Source organism: Homo sapiens, chromosome 20, assembly GCF_000001405.40.
Source record: "Homo sapiens chromosome 20, GRCh38.p14 Primary Assembly".
Lineage (NCBI taxonomy): Eukaryota > Metazoa > Chordata > Mammalia > Primates > Hominidae > Homo > Homo sapiens.
This window is the reverse complement of record NC_000020.11, coordinates 63,607,802-63,630,381: the sequence shown is the minus strand read 5'-3', so window position 1 is coordinate 63,630,381 and position 22,580 is coordinate 63,607,802. Positions and strand designations below refer to the sequence as shown.

At 53.5% G+C, this 22,580-nt stretch overlaps 1 protein-coding gene and 1 long non-coding RNA gene across 6 annotated transcripts in view, besides 9 other annotated features; one reads left to right on the top strand and one right to left on the bottom strand.

The window, feature by feature from the left end:
- Positions 1-1,557: 1,557 nt before the first annotated feature.
- MHENCR (melanoma highly expressed competing endogenous lncRNA for miR-425 and miR-489) lies at positions 1,558-3,147 on the bottom strand. 2 transcript variants are annotated; one of them, NR_132417.1, is made up of 2 exons: positions 2,990-3,147; positions 1,558-2,192 (listed from the first exon to the last, which is right to left on the bottom strand). It is a non-coding gene; the product is annotated as a melanoma highly expressed competing endogenous lncRNA for miR-425 and miR-489 (long non-coding RNA). The 2 variants fall into 2 exon arrangements; NR_132418.1 differs by having other exon boundaries at positions 1,674-2,113.
- Positions 2,840-3,289: a silencer, noted in NCBI's record as "silent region_13168". NCBI's record gives its function as "represses an Ori minimal core promoter by ATAC-STARR-seq in GM12878 lymphoblastoid cells {active_cell/tissue: GM12878}" and the evidence as "EXISTENCE:reporter gene assay evidence [ECO:0000049][PMID:35858748]".
- The window catches only part of GMEB2 (glucocorticoid modulatory element binding protein 2), a 39,497-nt gene continuing 20,197 nt past the window's right edge, over positions 3,281-22,580 (top strand). The window contains exons 1-3 of one of the 4 annotated variants that reach the window (XM_005260202.5): positions 3,640-3,734; positions 10,502-10,809; positions 10,928-11,115. In XM_005260202.5, coding sequence (XP_005260259.1) covers positions 10,985-11,115 — 131 coding nt within the window. In that variant the 5' untranslated portion in view covers positions 3,640-3,734; positions 10,502-10,809; positions 10,928-10,984. Of the gene's footprint in view, positions 3,427-3,639; positions 3,735-10,445; positions 10,831-10,927; positions 11,116-22,580 lie in introns of those variants that run through there. The other 3 variants (NM_012384.5, XM_047440106.1, XM_047440105.1) reach the window with 3 other exon arrangements.
- Positions 3,380-3,919: a silencer, noted in NCBI's record as "silent region_13167". NCBI's record gives its function as "represses an Ori minimal core promoter by ATAC-STARR-seq in GM12878 lymphoblastoid cells {active_cell/tissue: GM12878}" and the evidence as "EXISTENCE:reporter gene assay evidence [ECO:0000049][PMID:35858748]".
- Positions 8,956-9,125: an enhancer, noted in NCBI's record as "experimental_61208 CRE fragment used in MPRA reporter constructs". NCBI's record gives its function as "activates a minimal promoter by MPRAs in K562 erythroleukemia cells, with activity observed for both the introgressed and non-introgressed 20:62252695 or rs6089940 variant alleles {active_cell/tissue: K562}" and the evidence as "EXISTENCE:reporter gene assay evidence [ECO:0000049][PMID:34662402]".
- Position 9,040: a transcriptional cis regulatory region, noted in NCBI's record as "Neanderthal adaptively introgressed variant 20:62252695 (GRCh37/hg19 assembly coordinates) or rs6089940 in the experimental_61208 CRE". NCBI's record gives its function as "modulates activity of the experimental_61208 enhancer by MPRAs in K562 erythroleukemia cells {active_cell/tissue: K562}" and the evidence as "EXISTENCE:reporter gene assay evidence [ECO:0000049][PMID:34662402]".
- Positions 10,555-11,054: an enhancer, noted in NCBI's record as "H3K4me1 hESC enhancer chr20:62250681-62251180 (GRCh37/hg19 assembly coordinates)". NCBI's record gives its function as "activates a minimal SCP1, AML or CMV promoter by ChIP-STARR-seq in primed H9 embryonic stem cells {active_cell/tissue: H9 hESC(primed)}" and the evidence as "EXISTENCE:reporter gene assay evidence [ECO:0000049][PMID:30033119]".
- Positions 12,249-12,418: an enhancer, noted in NCBI's record as "experimental_61197 CRE fragment used in MPRA reporter constructs". NCBI's record gives its function as "activates a minimal promoter by MPRAs in K562 erythroleukemia cells, with activity observed for the introgressed 20:62249402 variant allele {active_cell/tissue: K562}" and the evidence as "EXISTENCE:reporter gene assay evidence [ECO:0000049][PMID:34662402]".
- Positions 13,013-13,212: an enhancer, noted in NCBI's record as "active region_18235". NCBI's record gives its function as "activates an Ori minimal core promoter by ATAC-STARR-seq in GM12878 lymphoblastoid cells {active_cell/tissue: GM12878}" and the evidence as "EXISTENCE:reporter gene assay evidence [ECO:0000049][PMID:35858748]".
- Positions 16,254-16,423: an enhancer, noted in NCBI's record as "experimental_61189 CRE fragment used in MPRA reporter constructs". NCBI's record gives its function as "activates a minimal promoter by MPRAs in K562 erythroleukemia cells, with activity observed for both the introgressed and non-introgressed 20:62245397 variant alleles {active_cell/tissue: K562}" and the evidence as "EXISTENCE:reporter gene assay evidence [ECO:0000049][PMID:34662402]".
- Positions 19,720-19,889: an enhancer, noted in NCBI's record as "experimental_61184 CRE fragment used in MPRA reporter constructs". NCBI's record gives its function as "activates a minimal promoter by MPRAs in K562 erythroleukemia cells, with activity observed for both the introgressed and non-introgressed 20:62241931 variant alleles {active_cell/tissue: K562}" and the evidence as "EXISTENCE:reporter gene assay evidence [ECO:0000049][PMID:34662402]".

Here is a 22,580-nt window from a genome sequence, read left to right as displayed (position 1 = left end):
CGCGATCTCGGCTCACTGCAAGCTCCGCCTCCCGGGTTCACGCCATTCTCCTGCCTCAGCCTCCCGAGTAGCTGGGACTACAGGCGCCCGCTACCACGCCCGGCTAATTTTTTGTATTTTTAGTAGAGACGGGGTTTCACCGTGTTAGCCAGGATGGTCTCGATCTCCTGACCTCGTGATCCGCCCGCCTCGGCCTCCCAAAGTGCTGGGATTACAGGCGTGAGCCACCGCGCCCGGCCGAGACTCCATCTCAAAAACAAAACAAAACAAACAAAAACAAAAACAGGCCTGGTGCAGTGGCTCACGTCTGCCCGGAGGCAGAGGTTGCAGTGAGCTGAGATTGCACCATTGCACTCCAACCTGGGCGACAGAGCGAGACTCTGTCTCAAAAAAAACCAAACCAAAAAAATCCCCAAAACAAAAATGATAAATATTTTAGAAGGAAGAATAGCCCCCCCACAGCCCTGCCCAAGATATTCACATCCTAACCCCTGGGATCTGTGAACGTTGGTTCCAAGCAAAGGGGAATTACAGCGACAGATGGAATGAAGGTCACTGGTCGGCGGACTCTGACAGGAGGTGCCCTGGGCCAGCTGGTGGCCCCATGTCATCACAAGGGGCCTTGACAGCAGATGAGGGAGGCAGGAGATCAGTGTCGGGGCCAACAGGGTGAGGACTCAACTGGCTTTGGCTGGCTTTCAGGTGTGGGATAGGCCACGAGACAAGGGGCTCAAGTGCTTCCAGAAACTGGAAAGGCCAGAACAGCTTCTCCCCTGGAGCTCCAAAAGCAATCGGCCCTGCAGACACCCTGATTTTGGCGGAGTGAGGCTGGGCTGGACTTCCGACCTACAGAACAGTTAGAGAATACATTTGCAGTTTTATTTATTTATTTTTTGAGACGGAGTCTTGCTCTGTTGCCTAGGCTGGAGTGCAGTGGCGCCATCTCGGCTCACTGCAAGCTCCGCTTCCTGGGTTCACGCCATTCTCCTGCCTCAGCCTCCCGAGTAGCTGGGACTACAGGCGCCTGCCACCACGCCAGGCTAATTTTTTGTATTTTTAGTAGAGAGGGGGTTTCACAGTGTTAGCCAGGATGGTCTCTATCTCCTGACCTCGTGATCTGCCCGCCTTGGCCTCACAAAGTGCTGGGATTATAGGCGTGAGCCACCGTGCCGGACACATTTGCATTTTTTAAAAAGAGACAGTTCTGGCCATGTTGGTCTCGAACTCCTGGCCTCAAGCAATCCTGCCTTGGCCTCCCAAAGTGCTAGGATTATGGGCGTGAGCCTCCGCACTCAGCCTAAATTTGCATTTTTAAGCGACTAAGTTTGAGATAATTTGTTATGCCAGCAGAAGAAAGCTAAGTTATCTTGGAGGTGATTTTTCTTTTTTTTTAGATGGAGTTTCTCTCTTGTTGCCCAGTTTGTCTCTTGGAGCCCCAGAGTGAAGGAGGCAGAACAGGCCCCAGGGCTCACCCCAGGCCGACCTCGGTGGGCTTGCGCAACACACAGGCATGATGTAGCCACCCTCCCATCCCCAGGCCCCCCTCAGCACTCCTCTTCGACTTTATTGACATTTATTTCCAAAACGTGACGATAGGCAAACTCAGATAAATGACACACATAGACCGCGTGAACCCTCTCATATTTACCAGATAATAAAATAGTAGCACTGACAAAGGCTCAATTTTTTTTTTTATTCTTCCCCAGAGACAGGCTCTGTTGCCCAGGCTGGTCTTGAACTCCTGGCCACAGGTGATCCTCCCACCTTTGTCTCCCAAAGTGTTGAGGTAAAAGGCATGAGCCACCGCACTCGGCCAATCTAATTTTTAAAAACACCTTTTCCTCACTGGCTGGAGCACGTTCTACTTTACTGGGAACTGAATGAATGTGCAACTCTAATTACAGCCCCTCCGAAGTGCAGTGGCTTGGGAACCTCCCGTTCCGGGAGGCGGCCTGCAGAGCCCTCCTCCTACAAGTGTGAGCACAGGGTCAGGGTTCCATCCAAGCGAGCACCTGCTTCCTATTTTCCGACTAATTTCGGTCCCCTGATACGGAATCCGGGATCCTGCAGACAGGCAGCGGGTGACAGCAAGCACAAGGGTGTTCGATGACACCTGGAGAGGTCAGGAGAGCCAGTCCTGCGGTGCAGAGGAAGAAACCCAGCACAGAGGCCAACAGAGCCAGCCCCAGCCTCTGCCAATAAAACATATAAATGAGCCCTGGGGGCTGGAGGAGGGCCACAGGATCCAAGCTGGCTGCCGGATCCGAGTGGGATCGGGGTGCCGACTGTGGGACATGGGTGGGATGGGGTGCCGGCTGCGGGACTCGGGTGGGATCGGGGTGCGGGCTATAGGACTGGGGCGGGATCGGGGTGTCATCTATGGGATCGAGGTGCTGGCTATGGGACTGGGGTGGGATCGGGGTGCTGGCTATGGGACTGGGGTGGGATCGGGGTATCAGCTATGCTATGCGATCGGGGTGAGTGCCGGCTGTGGGATCGGGGTGCCGGCTGCGGGACTGGGGTGGGATCGGGGTGCCGGCTGTGGGACAGCGGTGGGATCGGGGTGGGTGCCAGCTGTTGGGCTGGGGTGGGATCGGGGTGCCAGCTGCGGGACTGGGGTGGGATCGGGGTGCCGGCCGTGGGACAGCGGTGGGACCGGGGTGTTAGCTATGGGATTGGGGTGGGTGCCGGCTGTTGGGCAGGGGTGGGATCGGGGTGTCGGCTGTGGGACTGCGATAGGATCGGGGTGCTGGTTGTGGGACTGGGGTGACAGCTTGAGGGGTGACCGAGCCCTCCCGGCCGCTCCCGGATGCCCCTCGCCCTCCACGCTGGGAGCGCCGTGGCTGGCTGAGCCTCTGGCATGTTCCGCGTGAGTCCGCGCACCCTACAGCGTCCTCCTCCACAGCCTCGTGTTCAGGCGTCCGCCCCGCAGGGGAGTCCCCTCGCGCCCATTCACACACAGCAGCGTCCGGGCGAGGAGCGCCCGTACCTGGAGGCCTGAAGGTACCGCCCTGCCGCGCGTGGGCACTGCTCCCTGGCGCCGTCCGTCCACTGACCATCGTCCCTCGGCCCGGCCGCCCGCGCGGGGCAGGCAACGCCCGACCGGGGGCCTCGGGGACCAGGAGGAACCTGCGGCGTTAGGAGCTGACAGTGTCGGTCCGCGCACGCGCCCCGGGGCCCGTCGGGCCTTATTTCACGGCCCCGCCTTCCTCCTCCGCGAGCGCCAAATAAGTGTCCGGCCCTCCCAGCCCCGTGCGTGCGCGGCCCCGCCGCCTGCGTCACTAGGAAGCGCGCGCCCGCGCCGCCGCCGCCGCCGAATCCCCAACAAGGAGCGAAGCCCGCGGCCGCCGCCGCCGCCCGCCGCCGCCGCAGCTCCCGACGCCGCCGCCCCCGCCGGGTGCCTAAGCAGGCCCGGCGCGGCCCCAGGTAAGCGGCGCCGGCGAGCCCGCGGCCCCCCCGCGGCGAGGCCTCTCGCTCCGCTCACGCGCCGCCGTCCAGTCAGGGGTCCCTGCGGAGCGTCAGGACGTTACGGCGGGGGGAGGGGAGGGCCGGGGGAGGGGCGGCCGCGCGGGCGGCGGCGTCAGGCGCAACGGCGGCGTCAGGCGGGCGGCGCGGGCGGTGGCGGGCGCGGGCGGCGGCGCTTCCTGCCTCCATCTTGGCGCCGCGGGCGGGCGCGGGCTCGGCCTCCAGCGGCCTCCTCGGTGGACCCATCCCGGGGGGACCACGCCGCAGGGGTGCGACCCGCAGGGACCACCCCGCAGGCACCCGACCCGCAGGGACGCGACCCACAGGGACCACCCCGCAGGCACCCGACCCGCAGGGGCCACCACGCGACCCGCAGGGGCCACCCCACAGGGACGCGACCCACAGGGACCACCCCACAGGGACGCGACCCACAAGGACCACCCCGCAGGCACCCGACCCGCAGGGACGCGATCCCCAGGGGCCACCCCGCAGGCACCCGACCCGCAGGGACGCGATCCCCAGGGGCCACCCCGCAGGCACCCGACCCGCAGGGACGCGATTCCCAGGGGCCACCCCGCAGGCACCCGACCCGCAGGGACGCGACCCATAGGGACCACCCCGCAGGCACCCGACCCGCAGGGGCCACCCGGCAGGCACCCAACTCGCAGGGACGCGACCCGCAGGGATCACCCCACTGGGACCCACTCTCAGGGACCTGACCTGCAGGGACCACCCCACAGGGGCCCGCGTCACTGTAGGCTCACAGGCGGGACCTGGATCTGTGTAGACCCATGGTGGTGTGGACCCTGTTGGTCGGAGCTGATTTGTTGTGGGCCCGTCGTCAGTCATGGCATGTTATCTATTTGGTTACTGTGTAATTCATGCGTGACTGAAAAGTCGTGACTGACTTTTCTGTTGAACCAGAATTCTCTTTCTTTGCTAACACTTCAAATACAACAGTTTCAATTACATCAGTGTTGACCGTGCCGGTCAAGAATACTAGTTTAAAAATATTTTCTTGGGCCAGGTGTGATGGCTCACACCTGTAATCCCACCACTTTGGGAGCCCGACGTGGGCGGATCATGAGGTCAGGAGTTTGAGAGCAGCCTGGCTAACACGGTGAAACCCTGTCTCTACTAAAAATACAAAAGTTAGCCGGGCGTGGTGGTGTGCACTTGTAATCCCAGCTAGTTGGGAGGCTGAGGCAGGAGAATTGCTTGAACCCAGAAGGCAGAGGTTGCAGTGAGTGGAGATGGTGCCATTGCACTCCAGCCTGGGTGACGGAGCAAGATTGCGTCTCAAAAAAAAAAAAGTAAAATAAAATATTTTCTCATATCTGATTTACCTAATAATTTGGAAACTCACTTCACACTAGTGGGGAACCCAAGCCTTGGGATCAAAGCTGGGTGGGTCTTGGCTTCAACACAGAAGGGGCTGTGGAGAGGCCAGGTGTAGTGGCTCACACCTATAATCCCAGCACTATGGGAGGTCAAGGTGGGAGGATCACTGGAGGTCAGGAGTTCGAGACCAGCCTGGCCAACATGATGAAACCCCGTCTCTACCAAAAATGCAAAAATTAGCTAGGCGTGTTGGGTGCCTGTAGTCCCAGCTACTCGGGAGGCTGAGGCAGGAGAATCACTTCAACCCGGGAGGCGGAGGTTGCAGTGAGCCAAGATTTTGCCATTGCACTCCAGCCTGGGTGACAGAGCGAGACTCCATCTCAAAAAAACAAAGAAGGAGCTGTGGAGAGAGGAGGGGGTGCTCGCCCTTGGGAAGGCAATAGGGCGAGGTGCTCTATTCTATAGTGCTTCTTCTGTGTCTAAAGAGCATTGTATCAAGGACTTGCACTATTTTCTGTGAGGTAACTTTTGTGCATATTGCTTTGAACCTTTAATATAGTTGCCATTGGAGGCCAGGCTCAGTGGCTCACGCCTGTAATCCCAGCACTTTGGGAGGCAGAGGCGGGCGGATCACGAGGTCAGGAGATCGAGACTGTCCTGGCCAACATGGTGAAACCCCGTCTCTACTAAAAATACAAAAATTAGCCGGGCGTGGTGGTGGGCGCCTGTAATCCCAGCTACTCAGGAGGCTGAGGCAAGAGAATCGCTTGAACCCGGGAGGCAGAGCTTGCATTGAGCCGAGATCGGGCCACTGCAGTCCAACCTGGGCTACAGAGCGAGACTCCGTCTCAAAAAAAGAATATATGTATGTATGCAGTTGCCAATGGAGAGGCTGGAATTCAGTTTTGTGCGTGTACATTGCGTAATCCTCTGCAAAGCCCTGAAGCTGTGACGAGGACCCCTGCCTGCAGTGAGGCTGTTGCCTCTTTGCAGCTCTCTGCTTAAATGACTTTAGTTGCCCCTGCTGAGCTTACCCTTATGAAAGCAGCGTCTCCTCAGTGAGAGTTAAACCCCGAGAAGTCAGCACGGGAGATCAGTAGTATTTTAAATGAAATTTTTATTTTTTAATTTTAATTTTTTTTTTTTTGAGACAGAGTCTCGCTCTGTTGTCTAGGCTGGAGTGCAGTGGCACAATCTTGGCTCGCTGCAACCTCTGCCTCCGGAGTTCGAGAGATTCTCCTGCCTCAGCCTCCCAAGTAGGTGGGATTACAGGCACCCGCCACCATGCCCGGCCAATTTGTTTTTTTTTTTTTGTATTTTTAGTAGAGACAGGGTTTCATCATGGTGGCCAGGCTGGTCTTGAATTCCTGACCTCAGGTGATCCACCCGCCTCGGCCTTCCAAAGTGATGGGATTACAGGCGTGAGCCACCACGCCTGGCCAAATTTTTGAATTTTTTTTTTTTCTGAGACAGGGTCTTGCTCTGTCGCCCAGGCTGAAGTGTAGTGGTGCAGTCTTGGCACACTGCAGCCTCTGCCTCCCGGGTTCAAGCAGTTCTCTCACTTCAGCCTCCTGAGTAGCTGGGATTACATGGGCACACCACCACGCCCAGCTAATTTTTGTGTTTTCAGTAGAGACAAGGTTTTACCATGTTGGCCAGGCTGGTCTAACTCCTGACCTCAGGTGATCTGCTCGCCTCGGCCTCCCAAAGTGCTAGGATTATGGGCGTGAGCCACCACACCTGGCCTGAGTAAAATTTTAAAGTGGCTTTTTTTTTTTAAGAGAGAGTCTCACTCTGTCACCCAGGCTTGAGTGCAGTGGCATGATCTTGGCTCACTGCAACCTCTGCTGCCCAGGTTCAAGCGATTCTCCTGCCTCAGCCTCCCAAGTAGCTGAGATTACAGGCACCTGCCACCGCGCCCGGCTAATTTTTGTATTTTTAGTAGAGACGGGGTTTCACCGTATTGATCAGGCTGGTCTTTGAACTTCTGACCTTATGATCCACCCGCCGCGGCCTCCCAAAGTGCTGGGATTACAAGTGTGAGCCACCGCGCCCGGCCTAAAGTGGCTTTTTATTCATGTTTGTTTAAAGTTCTTTATTTTGAAGCCTAAGTCTACAACAACAAAGTTATGCTAGTGAAAACATTATATTTGAGAAATACGAAGTAATTCCGCCAGTGTAAACGAATTCATCATTGTAACTTTCCTGGCTAAAAAGCATCTGAAGACAGTCTTCAGAGACCCTGATGCCCTAATGGGAAATTGCCCACCAGCAGCTGGAGGGGTTCACCTGTGAGCCCCCTTTCCCCTTAGGCGCTCTGTCCTAGATGGCCACCATTTAAATTGAGTGACAGTAAACGGCTCATCATGTTCCAGGATGTTCTTAATTTGTAAAAATTTTTTTTCCTCATTTAAACAATACATTTTCCTTCCATCACTCATTTTCGATACCCTCCTGAAACAGGAAACGGGGAATATTTTCTTGTCCCTCGCACTTAGTCCTTAGTGCTTGTGTTTAGATGTGTTCCGTGAATACTTTGAGTAGTGTTCCTGTGGAGCCCTCACTGGTGTTCTCTGGGCTCTGGGCGCTGCCCCTTCTTACCCTAAACCTACCACAGCCCTCCCCGCCACTCACCGTCCGCCACACTCACTGCTCTCCCAGGCCAGGCTGGCGTCAGTAACGCGTGCGGGGTCTTTGCTGCGGGTGGTACCCAGCTCCCCACGGTTTCTTTTTGCTTCCTTTTCTTTGAGAATGGGTCTTTCCTTCATGGTGTTTAACCACCATCCCCTCTGTTCAGATCACCTACATTTCTTGGTTCCTTGGATCTCTGGTCAAGGGTTACTTCAGAGACTGGCTGCCATTTGCGATTGGTGGCCCAGGAAATCGTAGCTTTCTTTTCTCCCCTTTATCTTGCCTGTGGCCCTTTACCTTGGAGTTGTGTGGAGACCCATGCCCAGGTAGGAAGAAGTAGAGCCCCCTGGTCCAGTGCATACCCAGACAAAAGACAGCCTGTGGAATGGAGGAAAAGAAGCTAGGGTGGCCTGAGGACCTTTTGTTCTCTTGCGGACTTCCTCTCCCTAAGACATTCAGAAAAATGTTCCCATGCTGGAAAATGTCGGTTGAGTAAGATTTAGCAAGAACCTTGAGACCTGAAGGCACATTTTGTGATCGATTGTTCAGTTTGGGTGAGTTAGTTCTGGCATTGAAGGCATAATTGCAGAGGCCTGGCTGGGCTATGAGTGCCTCCCCTTAGTGAGTGCAGGGCCAGACTCTCCGCAGGGGACCACTGCGTGCCAGGTTGGGGTGGACCCACTCCTGTCCTTAGACACACTTGTTTGTTACAGTCCTAGGGGCAGGTGATGTTATTTTTATATTAACAATGATGATTTTAAAAGTTCTGGAAGATTTTATTTTCTTTCTTTTTTCTTTTCTTTCTTTCTTTTTTTTGTGACAAGGTCTTGATCTGTTGCCCAGGCTGGAGCGCAGTGGCACAACCATGGCTCACTGCAGCCTTGACCTCCTGGGCTTAAGTGATCCTCCTGCCTCAGCCTCCAGAGTAGCTGCAACTACAGGCGTGCACACCACCATGCCTGGCTATTTTTTATTATTTATTTAGCAGAGATGGGGTGTTGCTGTGTTGCCCAGGCTGGTCTCAAACCCCTGAGCTCAAGCATTCCTCTTGCCTTGGCCTCCCAAAGTCCTGGGATTACAGGTGTGACACCATGCCTGGCCATGAAAATTTTTCTTTGTTTAAAAAGTTTTTATATTCTGTACTTTCTAGTCTATATCTAATCCTAATGAGTCATTCTATTATAGTAGCATTACAGTGTTTTTATTACGGTAAAATATACATAACATAAAATTTAACCATTTTAAACTTTTTTTTTTTTTTTTTTTTTTTTTTTTTTGAGATGGAGTTTCGCTCTTGTTGCCCAGGCTGGAGTGCAGTGGCACGATCTCGGCTCACTGCAACCTCTGCCTCCTGGGTTCAAGCAGGTCTCCTGCCCCAGCCTCCCAAGTAGCTGGGACTACAGGTGCCTGCCACCATGCCTGGCTAATTTTTAGTATTTTTAGTCAAGACAGGATTTCACTGTGTTGGCCAGGATGGTCTCGAACTCCTGACCTCAGGCGATCCGCCTCCCAAAGTGCTGGGATTACAGGCGTGAGCCACCACGCCCAGCCCATTTTAACTGTTTTTAAATGTGTGGTTCAGCACCATTCAGAACAGCCACAGTGATTGTGCAGCCATCACCGCCGTCCATTTCCAGAGCTTTTCATCATCCCAAACAGAAATTCTGTACTCATTAAAGAACAACTCCCTGTACTCCCTCCCCCAGCCCCTGGTCACTTCTGTTCTACTTTCTTTCTTTTTCGTTTTTTGAGAGAGTTCTCACTCTGTTGCCCAGACTGGAGTGCGGTGGTGTGATCACAGCTCATTGCAGCCTCAATCTCCTAGGCTCAAACGATCCTCCAGCCCCGCCTTCCGAGTAGCTGAGACTATCCCAGCTTTGTGTATTTTCTTTTGGTTGTCGTTTTTAATTTTCACATTTCTGTTTGGTTATAACTCCTGTTTCTATACCAAGATTTTCTTTCCACTTGGTTGACAATGTTTGCTTTCCTCTTGGAGCTGGTCCGATAGCACCTGAAAGTCTCTGGATTCTGCGTTCAAGAGCCAGCTTCTCTTGTGTATTTGTTCCTTTGAGAATCAACCAGACTACCCTTTGCCAGGAAGTTTGATCGTGTTCTGGATGCTTTGACTACTGTGCTATGGACTCTAGGTCTTGTTTTAAGTTTCACAGAGAATGTAGACTTTTTTTTTTCATAGCAAGAAATCGACCTGGTTAGGTTCAGGCTGCAAATTTTGCACCCCGTTCCTGTGTCTGTGTTCTTAGGCCAGTTTATTTTAGAGACTTTCCAGTGCACTGTGGATCTGTCCCATATGCGCCACTGGGGCCCATCTGAGACCTGGGCAGTGGCCTATCCTGTAGGTCAGTTTTCTTCCCTTTGCCCTTTAGGGTCAGGACCACGTAGAGACTGTCTTGGGACGACCCAGGCGCTCACACACAGCTGTGTGCCATCCTCTCTTCTCCCCTCTCCTCTTGTCGCCTCCCCCACACTCTGACTCCAGGCTCGTTGCCCTCTGGCTGGAAACCAGGGGCTTTTGTGTTCCCTGTGCTAGGTAGGGGATGGAGAGTGAGAGGGCAACAGGGAGCCCCCACACTCTTGGGCCACCATTCCTTTAGTCAGGAGGAAGATTCCCCTGTCTCCAAGCTTTTTGGGCCAGGACAGCCATTATCACTGGGTTTTAGCAGGGGTTGGACTTGCTGAAGGCAAAGCCAGGAAAGACAAAATAATAATAATTTTTAAACCCGGGGCAGGCCAGGCATGGTGCCTCACACCTGCAATCCCAGCACTTTGGGAGGCCGAGGTGAGTGGATCACCTGAGGTCAGGAGTTTGAGACCAGCCTGGGCAACATGGTGAAACCTGTAATCCCAGCAATTGGAGAGGCTGAGGCAGGAGAATCACTTGAACCCAGGAGGTGGAGCTTGCAGTGAGCCGAGGTCGTGCCACTGCATTCCAGCCTGGGCGACAGAGCGAGACTCCGTCTCAAAAAAAACCCAAAAACCCAAAAAAACCCAGGGCGTTTCCCTCCTCTCTTTCTGTCTTGAATGGGTTTCCCTTCCCGTTCCACAGACCAGCGAGGACTTCTTGGAGTGCTTTCTGCACCTGAAACTCAGTTCAGGGATTGGGGCTGGCTTTGAGTTCAGGCCAGGAGAGACGGAAGAACTGGCAAGCCGGGAGCCTGCGTCCAGGGAAGTTGCTTGGAATTCCAGGCCCCTCCTGTCCTCCTGCTCTGAGCCCCACGTGGAGGGAGTGGCTCTGTGCTTTCTACCCAAGGGTTTCGGCTTATCCAGTGGGAAAAACGGGTGGAGTGCGCTTACACCGCCCTCGGAACCAGAGCCTGGAGTAGCCCTTCTGTTGCCGCTCGTTTTTGTCAGGAGGTAGCAGTCTGGGACTCAAGGGTGGGTCTTTGGAGCTGATTAGAGATGCCTTTGTGAGTGCTATGTTGTGTGGATGTGGAGATGACTCCATCCCTGTGCCCTGCCTTGCTTCCTCCAGGACTTGGGACCCTGGAGGACTGACGCTGCTGGCCTGGGCGTCCCCTTCCGCTGAGCCATGGCGACTCCCGACGTGAGTGTGCACATGGAGGAGGTGGTGGTTGTGACAACTCCGGACACTGCAGTGGACGGCAGTGGTGTGGAGGGGGTGAAGACCGTGTTGGTGACGACCAACTTGGCCCCTCACGGGTAAGCTCGGGCCTCGGTGCCATTGGGGCTGATGGGGGCTTGGGTTGGGCTGTCCTTGGCACAGCTGGCATTAACGTAGTAAGGGACAAGTGTCAGGATTTTTCTAGTTCCAGTTCTTCTGAGACTGGACTCAAATGTGTGTGTAAGTAGAGAGCGAAGAAAAGCAGAAATGGCACGGGGACCAGAAGACCCAGCTGCAGCTGCGGGGAGGCCTCCCGTACCTGCATGGCCACGTGGCTCCACGTCCTGAAAGGCCGTGATTTCTCATGTGAGAGGGAGTGGTAGGGATGTCAGAGAGCTGGCCTTTCATAAATGAAGTGAAGAGTCAGTGATTTTCTTGACAGTCTTCATGAAACTGTGAGTGTTTTCTTCCTCATCTCTGTACCAGATGTCCGATTCAAATGTTAGTTGGCAAAAACGCTAACATTTGCCCAAACTGCCAGCTTTGTTTTGCTGCCCGTAGGTGGAACTGCTAGGAGGTGGCAGAGCTGCTCCTGCTGTGAGCCGGTGTCACTCCTGCCTCTGCTGGGGTGAAATAAAGGCAGAGTCAGCCCCGGGCAGTCCCAGGCTGCCATCCTTATTCTTCCTCCCCAGAGGGCTCTGGGGCTCTGGTCTGGGGCAGTCTTCCCGTTGGTCTCATCCTTGCTGTGTCTCATGTGTGGCATCTTCATGCTGACCTAGCATATCACTGAGCATGAGCTTTTGACTTTCTCACCGTTTGACAGAGGACGACTCTAGACTGCCAACCCCTGTGCGGTGTAGGTCAGACCTCCCTTGGTGGACAGCGTGCAGGCAGCTGCTGCCTGGGAGGACCTGGCCCTGAGTTCCTTCCTGCCTTTCTTCCCTTGCTGTGGAGCCTGTTGTTGGACCCGAGGCTTTGACCTCCCTCCTGCATGTCAGGGTGGTGGAGGCTGTTGTGTGATCACAGAGCAAGACATGGACCTGTGTGGGTTCCTGGTGTGAGGTACCCTGTCCTCCCCTGTCTCATCCACAGAGCTGGTGGCCATGTCTGGAAATGCAGGAGTTTCTGAGTGGGACCTGCTAGCTGGATGTTCACACCTCCATTCTCCTTTTTCCTTTGTCAGCACCTTGGTGCACAGCTTCCGTGTTTTCCCGGCATGTGTCCATGATGTTTCCAGACATCTCCCACCCCACACCTCCCCACTCTTGCCCAGAGAGGCAGTGCCCAAGTCCCTCCCTTGGGACGCCGTGGCCGCGGCTGCTGGGGTGGTGTCCACGTCTCCTCAGCTGAGCCCTGACATGGCCTGCAATGAGTAGTGTGGCAGCAGTGACCCTTGGTCAGAGAAGTCCACGTAGCTTTCTCATGGTGCCCTAGGGCTACTGTGAGGAGCCCAGGGTCATTTCTGACCTGGGGAGAGGCTGCTCTGATCCCAACTGAGCCCAGCTTTCGTGTCACCCACCCAGGCGTCTGGGTGGAAGCAGCCTCGGGGTAGGCCCAGTCCCATATCCAACTCTCCTCACCTGAGCCCTGACACCGTGGCCGCGGCTGCCGGGGTGGTGTCCGAGTCATCTCATCCGAGCCGTGACACCGTGGCCGCGGCTGCCGGGATGGTGTCCAGGTCACCTCACCCGAGCCGTGACTCCGTGGCCGCGGCTGCCGGGATGGTGTCCAGGTCACCTCACCCGAGCCGTGACTCCGTGGCCGCGGCTGCCGGGGTGGTCTGGTCCAGCACCGGGTTGGGACCTTCAGTATCCTGAGCTCTAGGCCTTTCTTCCTGATCTGGTCTGACTCCCCAGATGGCGTGTGTCTTAGTCTGCTCGGGCTGCCGTAGACCGCGTGGCCTGAACAGCAGAGAGTTATTTTCTTACAGCTCTGAAGGCTGAAGTCCAAGATCAGGGTCTGCCAGGTTCAGCTGTTGGGAGGACTCGCTTTCTACCTTGCAGATGGCCGACTTCTTGCTGTGTCCTCATGATGGAGAGGGAGGGAGAGAGAAAGATCTTTCTCTTTCACTTCTTAGAAGGTCACGGTCGGCCAGGCGCGGTGGCTCATACCTGTAATTCCAGCACTGCAGGAGGCCGAGGGAGACAGATCACTTGAGCCCAGTTCAGGACCAGCCTGGGCGACATGGCAAAACCCCATCTCTACAAAAAACACAATGCACCACCAGCTGGGTGCGGTGGTAAGCACCTGTAGTCCCAGCTACTCAGGAGGCTGAAGCAGGAGGATCACCTGAGCCCAGGAGTTGGAGACAGCAGTGAGCCGTGATCGTGCCACTGTACTCCAACCTGAGTGATAGAGTGAGACCCAGTCTCCAAAAAAAAAAAAACCACCAGAAGGTCAAAGTCTTACTGGATGAGGGCCAACTTATATGACCTCATTTAAATTATCTCCTGAAGACCCCATCTTTAAATACAGTCACACTGGGGATGAGGCCTTCAACATATGAATTTTACGGGGGACACAGTTCAGGATAACGCCTTCCCCTAGCTCTCAGGGTCCTGTAGGCAGGGGCCTGCCTCCACCTCTCAGGGTCTTCTGCCAGTGGGGCTGAGGATGGCAGGTAGCTGGATGGGTGAGGGTGGGACATCTTTTGGTTGCCCTCCTTTCCCTCATTCCTGCTGGCAGAGGTAGTTGATGTGCCACGCCTCTAGATTTACGGATTTGGGGTATAAACTGAGCATCAGTCATCTCCCCACGGCCAGCCTCCGCCTCTCAGTCTGCACCTTGCTGCTCTCTGCGTCTGCGCGCACCCTCCTGCTCCTCGCTTCTGGGTTTACACTTTGGAAGCTCTTCCCTCTGCATTGTTGTGATGACTTCCATGAGGAGCCTATTCACGTGTGTGTTATTTTTATTTTTTTTTGAGTTGGAGTCTCGCTCTTGTTGCCTAGGCTGGAGTGCAGTGGCATGATCTCGGCTCACTACAACCTCTGCCTCCCGGGTTGAAGCAATTTTCCTGCCTCAGCTTCCCAAGTAGCTGGCACTATAGGTGTGTGCCACCACATCCAGCTCATTTTTGTATATTTAGTAGAGACGGGGTTTCACCATGTTGGCCAGGCTGGTCTCAAACTCCTGACCTTAGGTGATCTGCCTGCCTCAGCCTCCCAAAGTGCTGGAATTACAGGCGCGAGCCACTGTACCCGGCCCACATGTGTGTGTCTAATTTGCCATTTTATCAGGAAGTTTGTACAGCCTTTAAAAAATTAAATATAACCATTTTTATTACAAAATATATATGGTAGAAAATTATTTCATAGCTAGAATTATTTAGAAAGAAAAAGAAAATTAGAAAATACTGATAAGCAAAAATTCAAAAAGGCCATATTACTACTACCTAGAGATTCCTACTGTCAACACCTTAGAATAGATCTTTCCAGATGTTCTGTTTATATCGAAACATATGAATTTTTCTTTCCTTAAACCTTTTTATTATTAAACTCACGTACATGTTGAAAAGCACCCCAGGTCCTCATGTTCCGCTGGATGAACCCCCACAAAGGGAGCATGGGGCGTCGCCACACCGTGGAGCCCTGCACGTGCCCCTCGCGTTCCCAGCATGAGACCCCACTGTACACACAGCTTCCATTCTGGTTTGGCTTTAGTTAATGATCTTTGTCTTTCCATGTTGATGAATTTTCATCTCTTCTAATATTCAATTCAAATTTAAATTTCTTCCTATGTTGGCCAGGCCTGGTGGCTCCTGCCTGTAATCTGAGCACTTTGGGAGGCTGAGGTGGGAGGGTTGCTTGAGCCCAGGAGTTGAGACCAGCCCGAGCAACATAGTGAAACCTCGTCTCTACAAAAAATATAAAAATTATTTGGGTGTGGTGGCATGCACCTATGGTCCCAGCTGCATGGGAGGTTGAGGCGGGAGGATTGCTTGAGCCTGAGAGAGGTTGAGGCTGCAGTGAGCCAAGGTCATGCCACTGCACTGCAGCCTGGGTGACAGGGTGAGATCCTGTCTCAAAAAAAAGAAAAAAGGAAAAGTTTCTTTCCCCGCAAAGTGGCTTTTACTGTTGGTTTGTCCAAGTTGGAGACCATCCCATTTAGTCCTCATATTGCCCATTAGCATGTCACTCAGAAAAGTCTCTTTTTCGTGAACTGGCTCAACGAGGAGACTGGGCCAGATGTCCTGCAGGTGCCTTGCTGGGTTTGGAGGATCGCAATTCACTACAGCAGCTGAGTCGTGCCTAGGCTCCAGTCTACAAAGCCAGGGTGTAGGGACCAGCCCCACAGGGTTGGTGGGTTTTCTCCTCGTATGCGGAGATGAGAGAGTGTAGAAATAAAGACACAAGACAAAGATAAAAGAAAAAGACAGCTGGGCCTGGGGGACCACTACCACCAAGACGCGGAGACTGGTAGCGGCCCCGAATGCCAGGTTGCGCTATTTATTGGATACAAGACAAAGCGGCAGGGTAAGGAGTGTGAACCATGTCCAGTGATAGGTAAGGTCATGTGGGTCACGTGCCCACTGGCCAGGGGGCCCTTCCCTTCCTGGCAGCTGAGGCAGAGAGAGAGGAGAGAGAGAGAGAGACCGCTTACGCCATTATTTCTGCTTATCAGAGACTTTCAGTACTTTCACTAATTTGCTGCTGCTATCTAGAAGGCAGAGCCAGGTGCACAGGATGGAACATGAAGGCGGACTAGGAGCGTGACCACTGAAGCACAGCATCACAGGGAGACGGTTAGGCCTCCGGATAACTGCGGGCGGGCCTGACTGATGTCAGGCCCTCCGCAAGAGGTGGAGGAGTAGAGTCTTCTCTAAACTCCCCCGGGGAAAGGGAGACTCTCTTTCCTGGTTTGCTAAGTAGCGGGTGTTTTTCCTTGACACTGAGGCTACCGCTAGACCACGGTCCACTTGGCAACGGGCGTCTTCCCAGATGCTGGCGTTACCGCTAGACCAAGGAGCCCTCTGGTGGCCCTGTCCAGGCATAACAGAAGGCTCGCACTCTTGTCTTCTGGTCAGTTCTCACTATGTCCCCTCAGCTCCTATCTCTGTATGGCCTAGTTTTTCCTAGGTTATGATTTCCTAGTTTTTCCTAGGTTATGCTTAGGCAAGGATTATTATAATATTGGAATAAAGAGTAATTGCTACAAACTAATGATGAATGATATTCATATATAATCATATTTATGATCTATATCTAGTATAACTATTCTTATTTTATGCATTTTATTACACCGGAACAGCTCGTGCCCTCGGTCTCTTGCCTCGGCACCTAGGTGGCTTGCCGCCCATACCAGGGTCCATCTGATGGAGTGGGTGTTGCCCAGTCTGACAAATGCAGGGCGGCCTTCACATCCTAGGGGGTCTCTTTACCCTGCCCTGCTCTGCACTCTTCCCTCCCCCTCCTGTCCAGACCACCCACATGCTAGACTCTCACACCCAAGAGAAGTCTCACGAACATGTCGCAGGAGCATCAAGGACACTGGAGTTACCCATTTGAAATGTGGAGAGTTCAACATTAAGTACATTTTTATTGATAAACAAAAATGGGCCAGGCGCAGTGGCTCACACCTGTAATCCCAGCACTTTGGGAGGCCAGGGTGGGTGGATCACTTGTCAGGAATTTGAGACCAGTCTGGCCAACATGGTGAAACCCCGTCTCTACTAAAAGTACAAAAATTAGCCAGGCGTGGTGGCGGGCGCCTGTAATCCAGTTGGGAGGCTGCAGCAGGAGAATTGCTTGAACCAGGGAGATGGAGGTTACAGTGAGCCGAGATTGTGCCACTGCACTCCAGCCTGGGTGACAGAGCGAGACTCAGTCTCAAAAAAAAAAAAAAAAGAAAACAAAAATGTTGTAGTAATAAAATCCTGCACAGTTGTCTTCGTACACAGTTGTGGCTTAGAGCTCTCCTCTGTGGGTGTCTTGCCGGCTGGTGGCAGTGACGGACCAGGGCAGTGGCAGACACAGGCGCACGGCTGGCGCAGTGCCCTGGAGGCTGGTGTCCCACTTGCTGTCTTGGTTTCCTGTGGTCACTGTGGAAGGTGGCTCCTGTAGGTTAGCTTTGCTTTATGAACACTGAGTAGGAGCTTTTTTTCTAGGATGTTAAAAGAATTTGCTCACATCTTATGCTTGAGTTAACTCTTTGAAGAACAGTGAGAAGTAGAGAGGAAATAATTGCCAAGTTCTCTTGCTTGCTCTGTTTATGATTGTGTCAGTTTTCTTTTGCTGTTTAAGAAAACACCCAATGGCAGGCACCTGTAGTCCCAGTTACTCAGGAGGCTGAGGCAGGGGAATGGCGTGAATCCGGGGGGCAGAGCTTGCAGTGAGCCAAGATTGCGCCACTGCACTCCAGCCTGGGCAACAGAGTGAGACTGCGTCTCCGAAAAAAAAAAAGAAAAAGAAAGAAAGAAACCATCCAAAACTTAGTGGCTTAAGACAAGACATAGTTGTTATTATTTTTAATTCTGTTGGTTGGTTCGTGGTTCTGCTGGTCTGGGCCGGCCTCACCAACCCCTGTCGTCAGCTGACAGCTTGGCAAGGACCTGCTGGTCTGGGTGGCCTTGGCCACAGGGGTCTCTGGAGGGAGGCAGTCTGAGGCACAGGTAGGCTCGGCTGGGTGGCTCTCCTCTGCTTTGCCCGGTCTGTGATCCTCCACCTGGAGGCCTGGACTTCTTTGCCCCGTAAGCCCACAGTTGCAGAGGAAAGTGGGCCTCCTGCTCACTTCTGTTGCCTTGATTGACGCAAGCGACATCACCAAGTGCTGGTTCAAGGGCAGAGCTAAGACTGCCTCTTGGTAGGAAGTTACAAAACGTTGAGATCATTTCTGTGGCCACAGAATGACATTTCCATTCGTCCGCCTCCCGCCTTTTCCTGGGCCTTCCCAGCTCACCCCTTGTGGCCACGTCGGGTCTGGGTGTGGCTGGGGCTTCTTGGTTATGGCACGTCTTGATCCAGAGACTGGTGAACTAAAACCTAGCGACTTCCCCTCCCCTACTGAGCGTGCGGTGGCAGACAAGACAGGACGGGCTCCAGGGCAGGTGGCTTGTTCGAAGGCACCTCACTGATCCAAGATGGGGCAGGGTGGCCCTTTGGCCAGATGCGGCCAGAAAGCTTTCTAAGGTGTGAGGGAAGAGTGACAACCATAGCCCAGGTTGGTCTTTATTCTGAGACCATCTCTTTTTTAAATTTTCTATTTTTTATATTTTTTCCTTTCTTAGATTTCTGTGGGTCAGAACCATTTTTTACCTTGACAGAGTCTTTTGCCAGTGGAGAAACTGGAGACATGAAATGATTTTTTGTTTTTCGAAACAGAGTCTCGTTCTGTTGCACAGACTGGAGTGCAGTGGCACAGTCACGGCTCATGGCAGCCGTGACCTCCTGGGTTCAAGGAATCGTCCTGCCTCAGCCTCCTGAGTAGCTGGGACTCTACAGGCATGTGCCACCATGCCCGGCCCCGTGTAGATTTTTAGTACAGTGCTGGGACTGCAGGCATGTGCCACCACGCCTGGCTAATGGGCTCTCACTGTGTTGCCCAAGCTAGTCTTGAACTCCTGGACTCAAGCAGTCCTCCCACCTCAGCCTCCCGAAGCACTGGGGTTACAGGCTTGAGCCACCATGTCTGGCCGATGCAAAACAATTTGATCCCCTGGGGATTCCTTGTTTGGAGAAGAACCTTCTAGCTCCACTGTGTCTGGAATGTTCCTTGCGAGATCACACTAGTCAGATGTGTTTCCTTTTTTTTTTTTGAGACCAAGTCTCACTCCGTCACACAGGCTGGAGTGCAGTGGCATGATCTCAGCTCACTGCAGCAGCCTCCACCTCCCGGGTTCAAGTAAATCTCTTGCCTCAGCCTCCTGAATAGCAGGGATTACAGGCACCCGCCACCACGCCTGCCTAAATTTTGTATTTTTCGTAGAGACAGGGTTTCACCATATTGGCCAGGCTGGTCTTGAACTCCTGACCTCAAGTGATCCACCACCTTGGCCTCCCAAAGTGCTGGGATTATAGGCATGAGCCACCACGCCCAGCCTGTTTCTTCTCTTTTAAATTGCTGTGGCATAAGGTCCTGCCAAGGTTTCCTCTGCCTCATGGCACAGTGGCCCCTTCCACACACAAGAGCCGGGTCTGGGATGGCATTTGTGCCCTTAGCCTGTGCCCTCTCCCCACGCAGAGGCGGTGCTGTGTGTCCCAGGCTGGGGACAGCAGTGCTTGTTTCTGGCAGTTTCTGAATTAGCCATGCTTGCAGCCTAACAAACCACCGCAGAGCTTGGTGGCTTAAAGCAGCAGACACTGGTCATTTCTTAAGGTTTTCGGGCCTGGGCTGGTGCTGCTGGGCCTCGCCGGGGGGTCCAGGCTGGGCTCACTTGCATATCCGGGCATTGGTGGGCTGGCCGAGGCTCTGCATGTGGTCCTCATCTGCCAGGACACCTGCCTGGGTGTGCTTAGCAGGAGGAGAGCCAGAGTCCTCGTAGGGCCTCGTCACAGCCTCTTGGTCAAAGCTCTTCAAAGCTTGGCCCAAAGTCAAGTGGAGGGGGTGGGAAATAGCCCCCTGTCTTGATGGAGGGAGCCATGAAGGACCAGAGGGCATTTTTCAGTCTGCAGTTGCTTTGCCAGGACGCCAAGGCTCTGCCCTCGCGGGACAGTGGCTTATGGAGCAGTGGAGAGTCTGCATGCGCCTTCTTCTCTGAGAAGAGAACCCCACGTGGCAGCTGAGGCAGGGCTGTCTTGAAGGACTTAAAGATCCTCTTCTTTTTTGTGGGGAATTAAATCTGTTCTTCTACCATCTGGAAATTGAGACTTCCTCTTGCTACATGTTTTTTTTGTTTTGTTTTCTTTTTTTGAGACAGATTCTCACTCTGTCGCCCAGACTGGAGTGCAATGGCGCGATCTCGGCTCACTGTAACCTCCACCTCCCGGGTTCACGCCATTCTCTTGCCTCAGCCTCCTGAGTAGCTGGGCCTACAGGCGCCCGCCACCACGCCCGGCTAATTTTTTGTATTTTTAGTAGAGACGGGGTTTCACCGTGTTAGCCAGGATGGTCTCGATCTCCTGACCTTGTGATCCGCCTGCCTCGGCCTCCCAAAGTGCTGGGATTACAGGTGTGAGCCACCGTGCCCGGCTGGTGTGCGTGTGTTTTTAAGCAAACTTCTGGAAGTTTAGAAGTGCACACATCATACAGTTGGCTGTTATGAGGTGCACAGCTGGGAACCCCACCCAGACCTCTCCCAGCTTCTCCACATCATCTCCCCAGAGGCAGCTGCCCGCACGGGTTCCAGAAACTGGAGACTTGTTCCCTGTTTCAGACAACCCTCATGCCAGTGTGGGAACACCATGTCTGCAGGATTAATTTCTAGAAATGGAGGTGGAGTCAGAGGGGCATGTTTCTAGAAATGGAGGTGGGGTCAGAGGGGCATGTTTCTAGAAATGGAGGTGGGGTCAGAGGGGCATGTTTCTAGAAATGGATGTGTGGGTCAGAGGGGCATGTTTCTAGAAATGGAGGTGAGGTCAGAGGGGCATGTTTCTAGAAATGGAGGTGTGGGTCAGAGGGGCATGTTTCTAGAAATGGAGGTGGGGTCAGAGGGGCATGTTTCTAGAAATGGAGGTGGGGTCAGAGGGACATGTTTCTAGAAATGGAGGTGTGGGTCAGAGGGGCATGTTTCTAGAAATGGAGGTGGGTCAGAGGGGCATGTTTCTAGAAATGGAGGTGGGTCAGAGGGGCATGTTTCTAGAAATGGATGTGGGGTGAGAGGGGCATGTTTCTAGAAATGGAGGTGGGTCAGAGGGGCATGTTTCTAGAAATGGAGGTGAGGTCAGAGGGGCATGTTTCTAGAAATGGAGGTGGGGTCAGAGGGGCATGTTTCTAGAAATGGATGTGGGGTCAGAGGGACATGTTTCTAGAAATGGATGTGGGGTGAGAGGGGCATGTTTCTAGAAATGGAGGTGGGGTCAGAGGGGCATGTTTCTAGAAATGGAGGTGAGGTCAGAGGGGCATGTTTCTAGAAATGGATGTGTGGGGTCAGAGTGGCATGTTTCTAGAAATGGAGGTGAGTCAGAGGGACATGTTTCTAGAAATGGATGTGTGGGGTCAGAGGGGCATGTTTCTGGAAATGGAGGTGGGTCAGAGGGGCATGTTTCTAGAAATGGATGTGTGGGGTCAGAGTGGCATGTTTCTAGAAATGGAGGTGAGTCAGAGGGACATGTTTCTAGAAATGGATGTGTGGGGTCAGAGGGGCATGTTTCTGGAAATGGAGGTGGGTCAGAGGGGCATGTTTCTAGAAATGGAGGTGTGGGGTCAGGGGCATGTTTCTAGAAATGGAGGTGTGGGTCAGAGGGACATGTTTCTAGAAATGGAGGTGTGGGTCAGAGGGGCATGTTTCTAGAAATGGAGGTGAGTCAGAGGGGCATGTTTCTAGAAATGGAGGTGGGGTCACAGGGGCATGTTTCTAGAAATGGAGGTGAGGTCAGAGGGGCATGTTTCTAGAAATGGATGTGGGGTCAGAGGGGCATGTTTCTAGAAATGGAGGTGTGGGTCAGAGGGGCATGTTTCTAGAAATGGAGGTGGGGTCAGAGGGGCATGTTTCTAGAAATGGATGTGGGGTCAGAGGGACATGTTTCTAGAAATGGAGGTGGGGTCAGAGGGGCATGTTTCTAGAAATGGATGTGGGGTCAGAGGGACATGTTTCTAGAAATGGAGGTGGGGTCACAGGGGCATGTTTCTAGAAATGGAGGTGAGGTCAGAGGGGCATGTTTCTAGAAATGGATGTGGGGTCAGAGGGACATGTTTCTAGAAATGGAGGTGGGGTCAGAGGGGCATGTTTCTAGAAATGGATGTGGGGTCAGAGGGACATGTTTCTAGAAATGGAGGTGGGGTCAGAGGGGCATGTTTCTAGAAATGGATGTGGGGTCAGAGGGACATGTTTCTAGAAATGGATGTGGGGTCACGGGCATGTTTCTAGAAATGGAGGTGAGGTCAGAGGGGCATGTTTCTAGAAATGGATGTGGGGTCAGAGGGGCATGTTTCTAGAAATGGATGTGGGGTCAGAGGGGCATGTTTCTAGAAATGGAGGTGAGGTCACAGGGGCATGTTTCTAGAAATGGAGGTGTGGGTCAGAGGGGCATGTTTCTAGAAATGGAGGTGAGGTCAGAGGGGCATGTTTCTAGAAATGGAGGTGAGGTCACAGGGGCATGTTTCTAGAAATGGATGTGGGGTCAGAGGGGCATGTTTCTAGAAATGGATGTGGGGTCACGGGCATGTTTCTAGAAATGGAGGTGAGGTCAGAGGGGCATGTTTCTAGAAATGGATGTGGGGTCAGAGGGGCATGTTTCTAGAAATGGATGTGGGGTCAGAGGGGCATGTTTCTAGAAATGGAGGTGAGGTCACAGGGGCATGTTTCTAGAAATGGAGGTGTGGGTCAGAGGGGCATGTTTCTAGAAATGGAGGTGAGGTCAGAGGGGCATGTTTCTAGAAATGGAGGTGAGGTCACAGGGGCATGTTTCTAGAAATGGAGGTGGGGTCAGAGGGGCATGTTTCTAGAAATGGAGGTGTGGGTCAGAGGGGC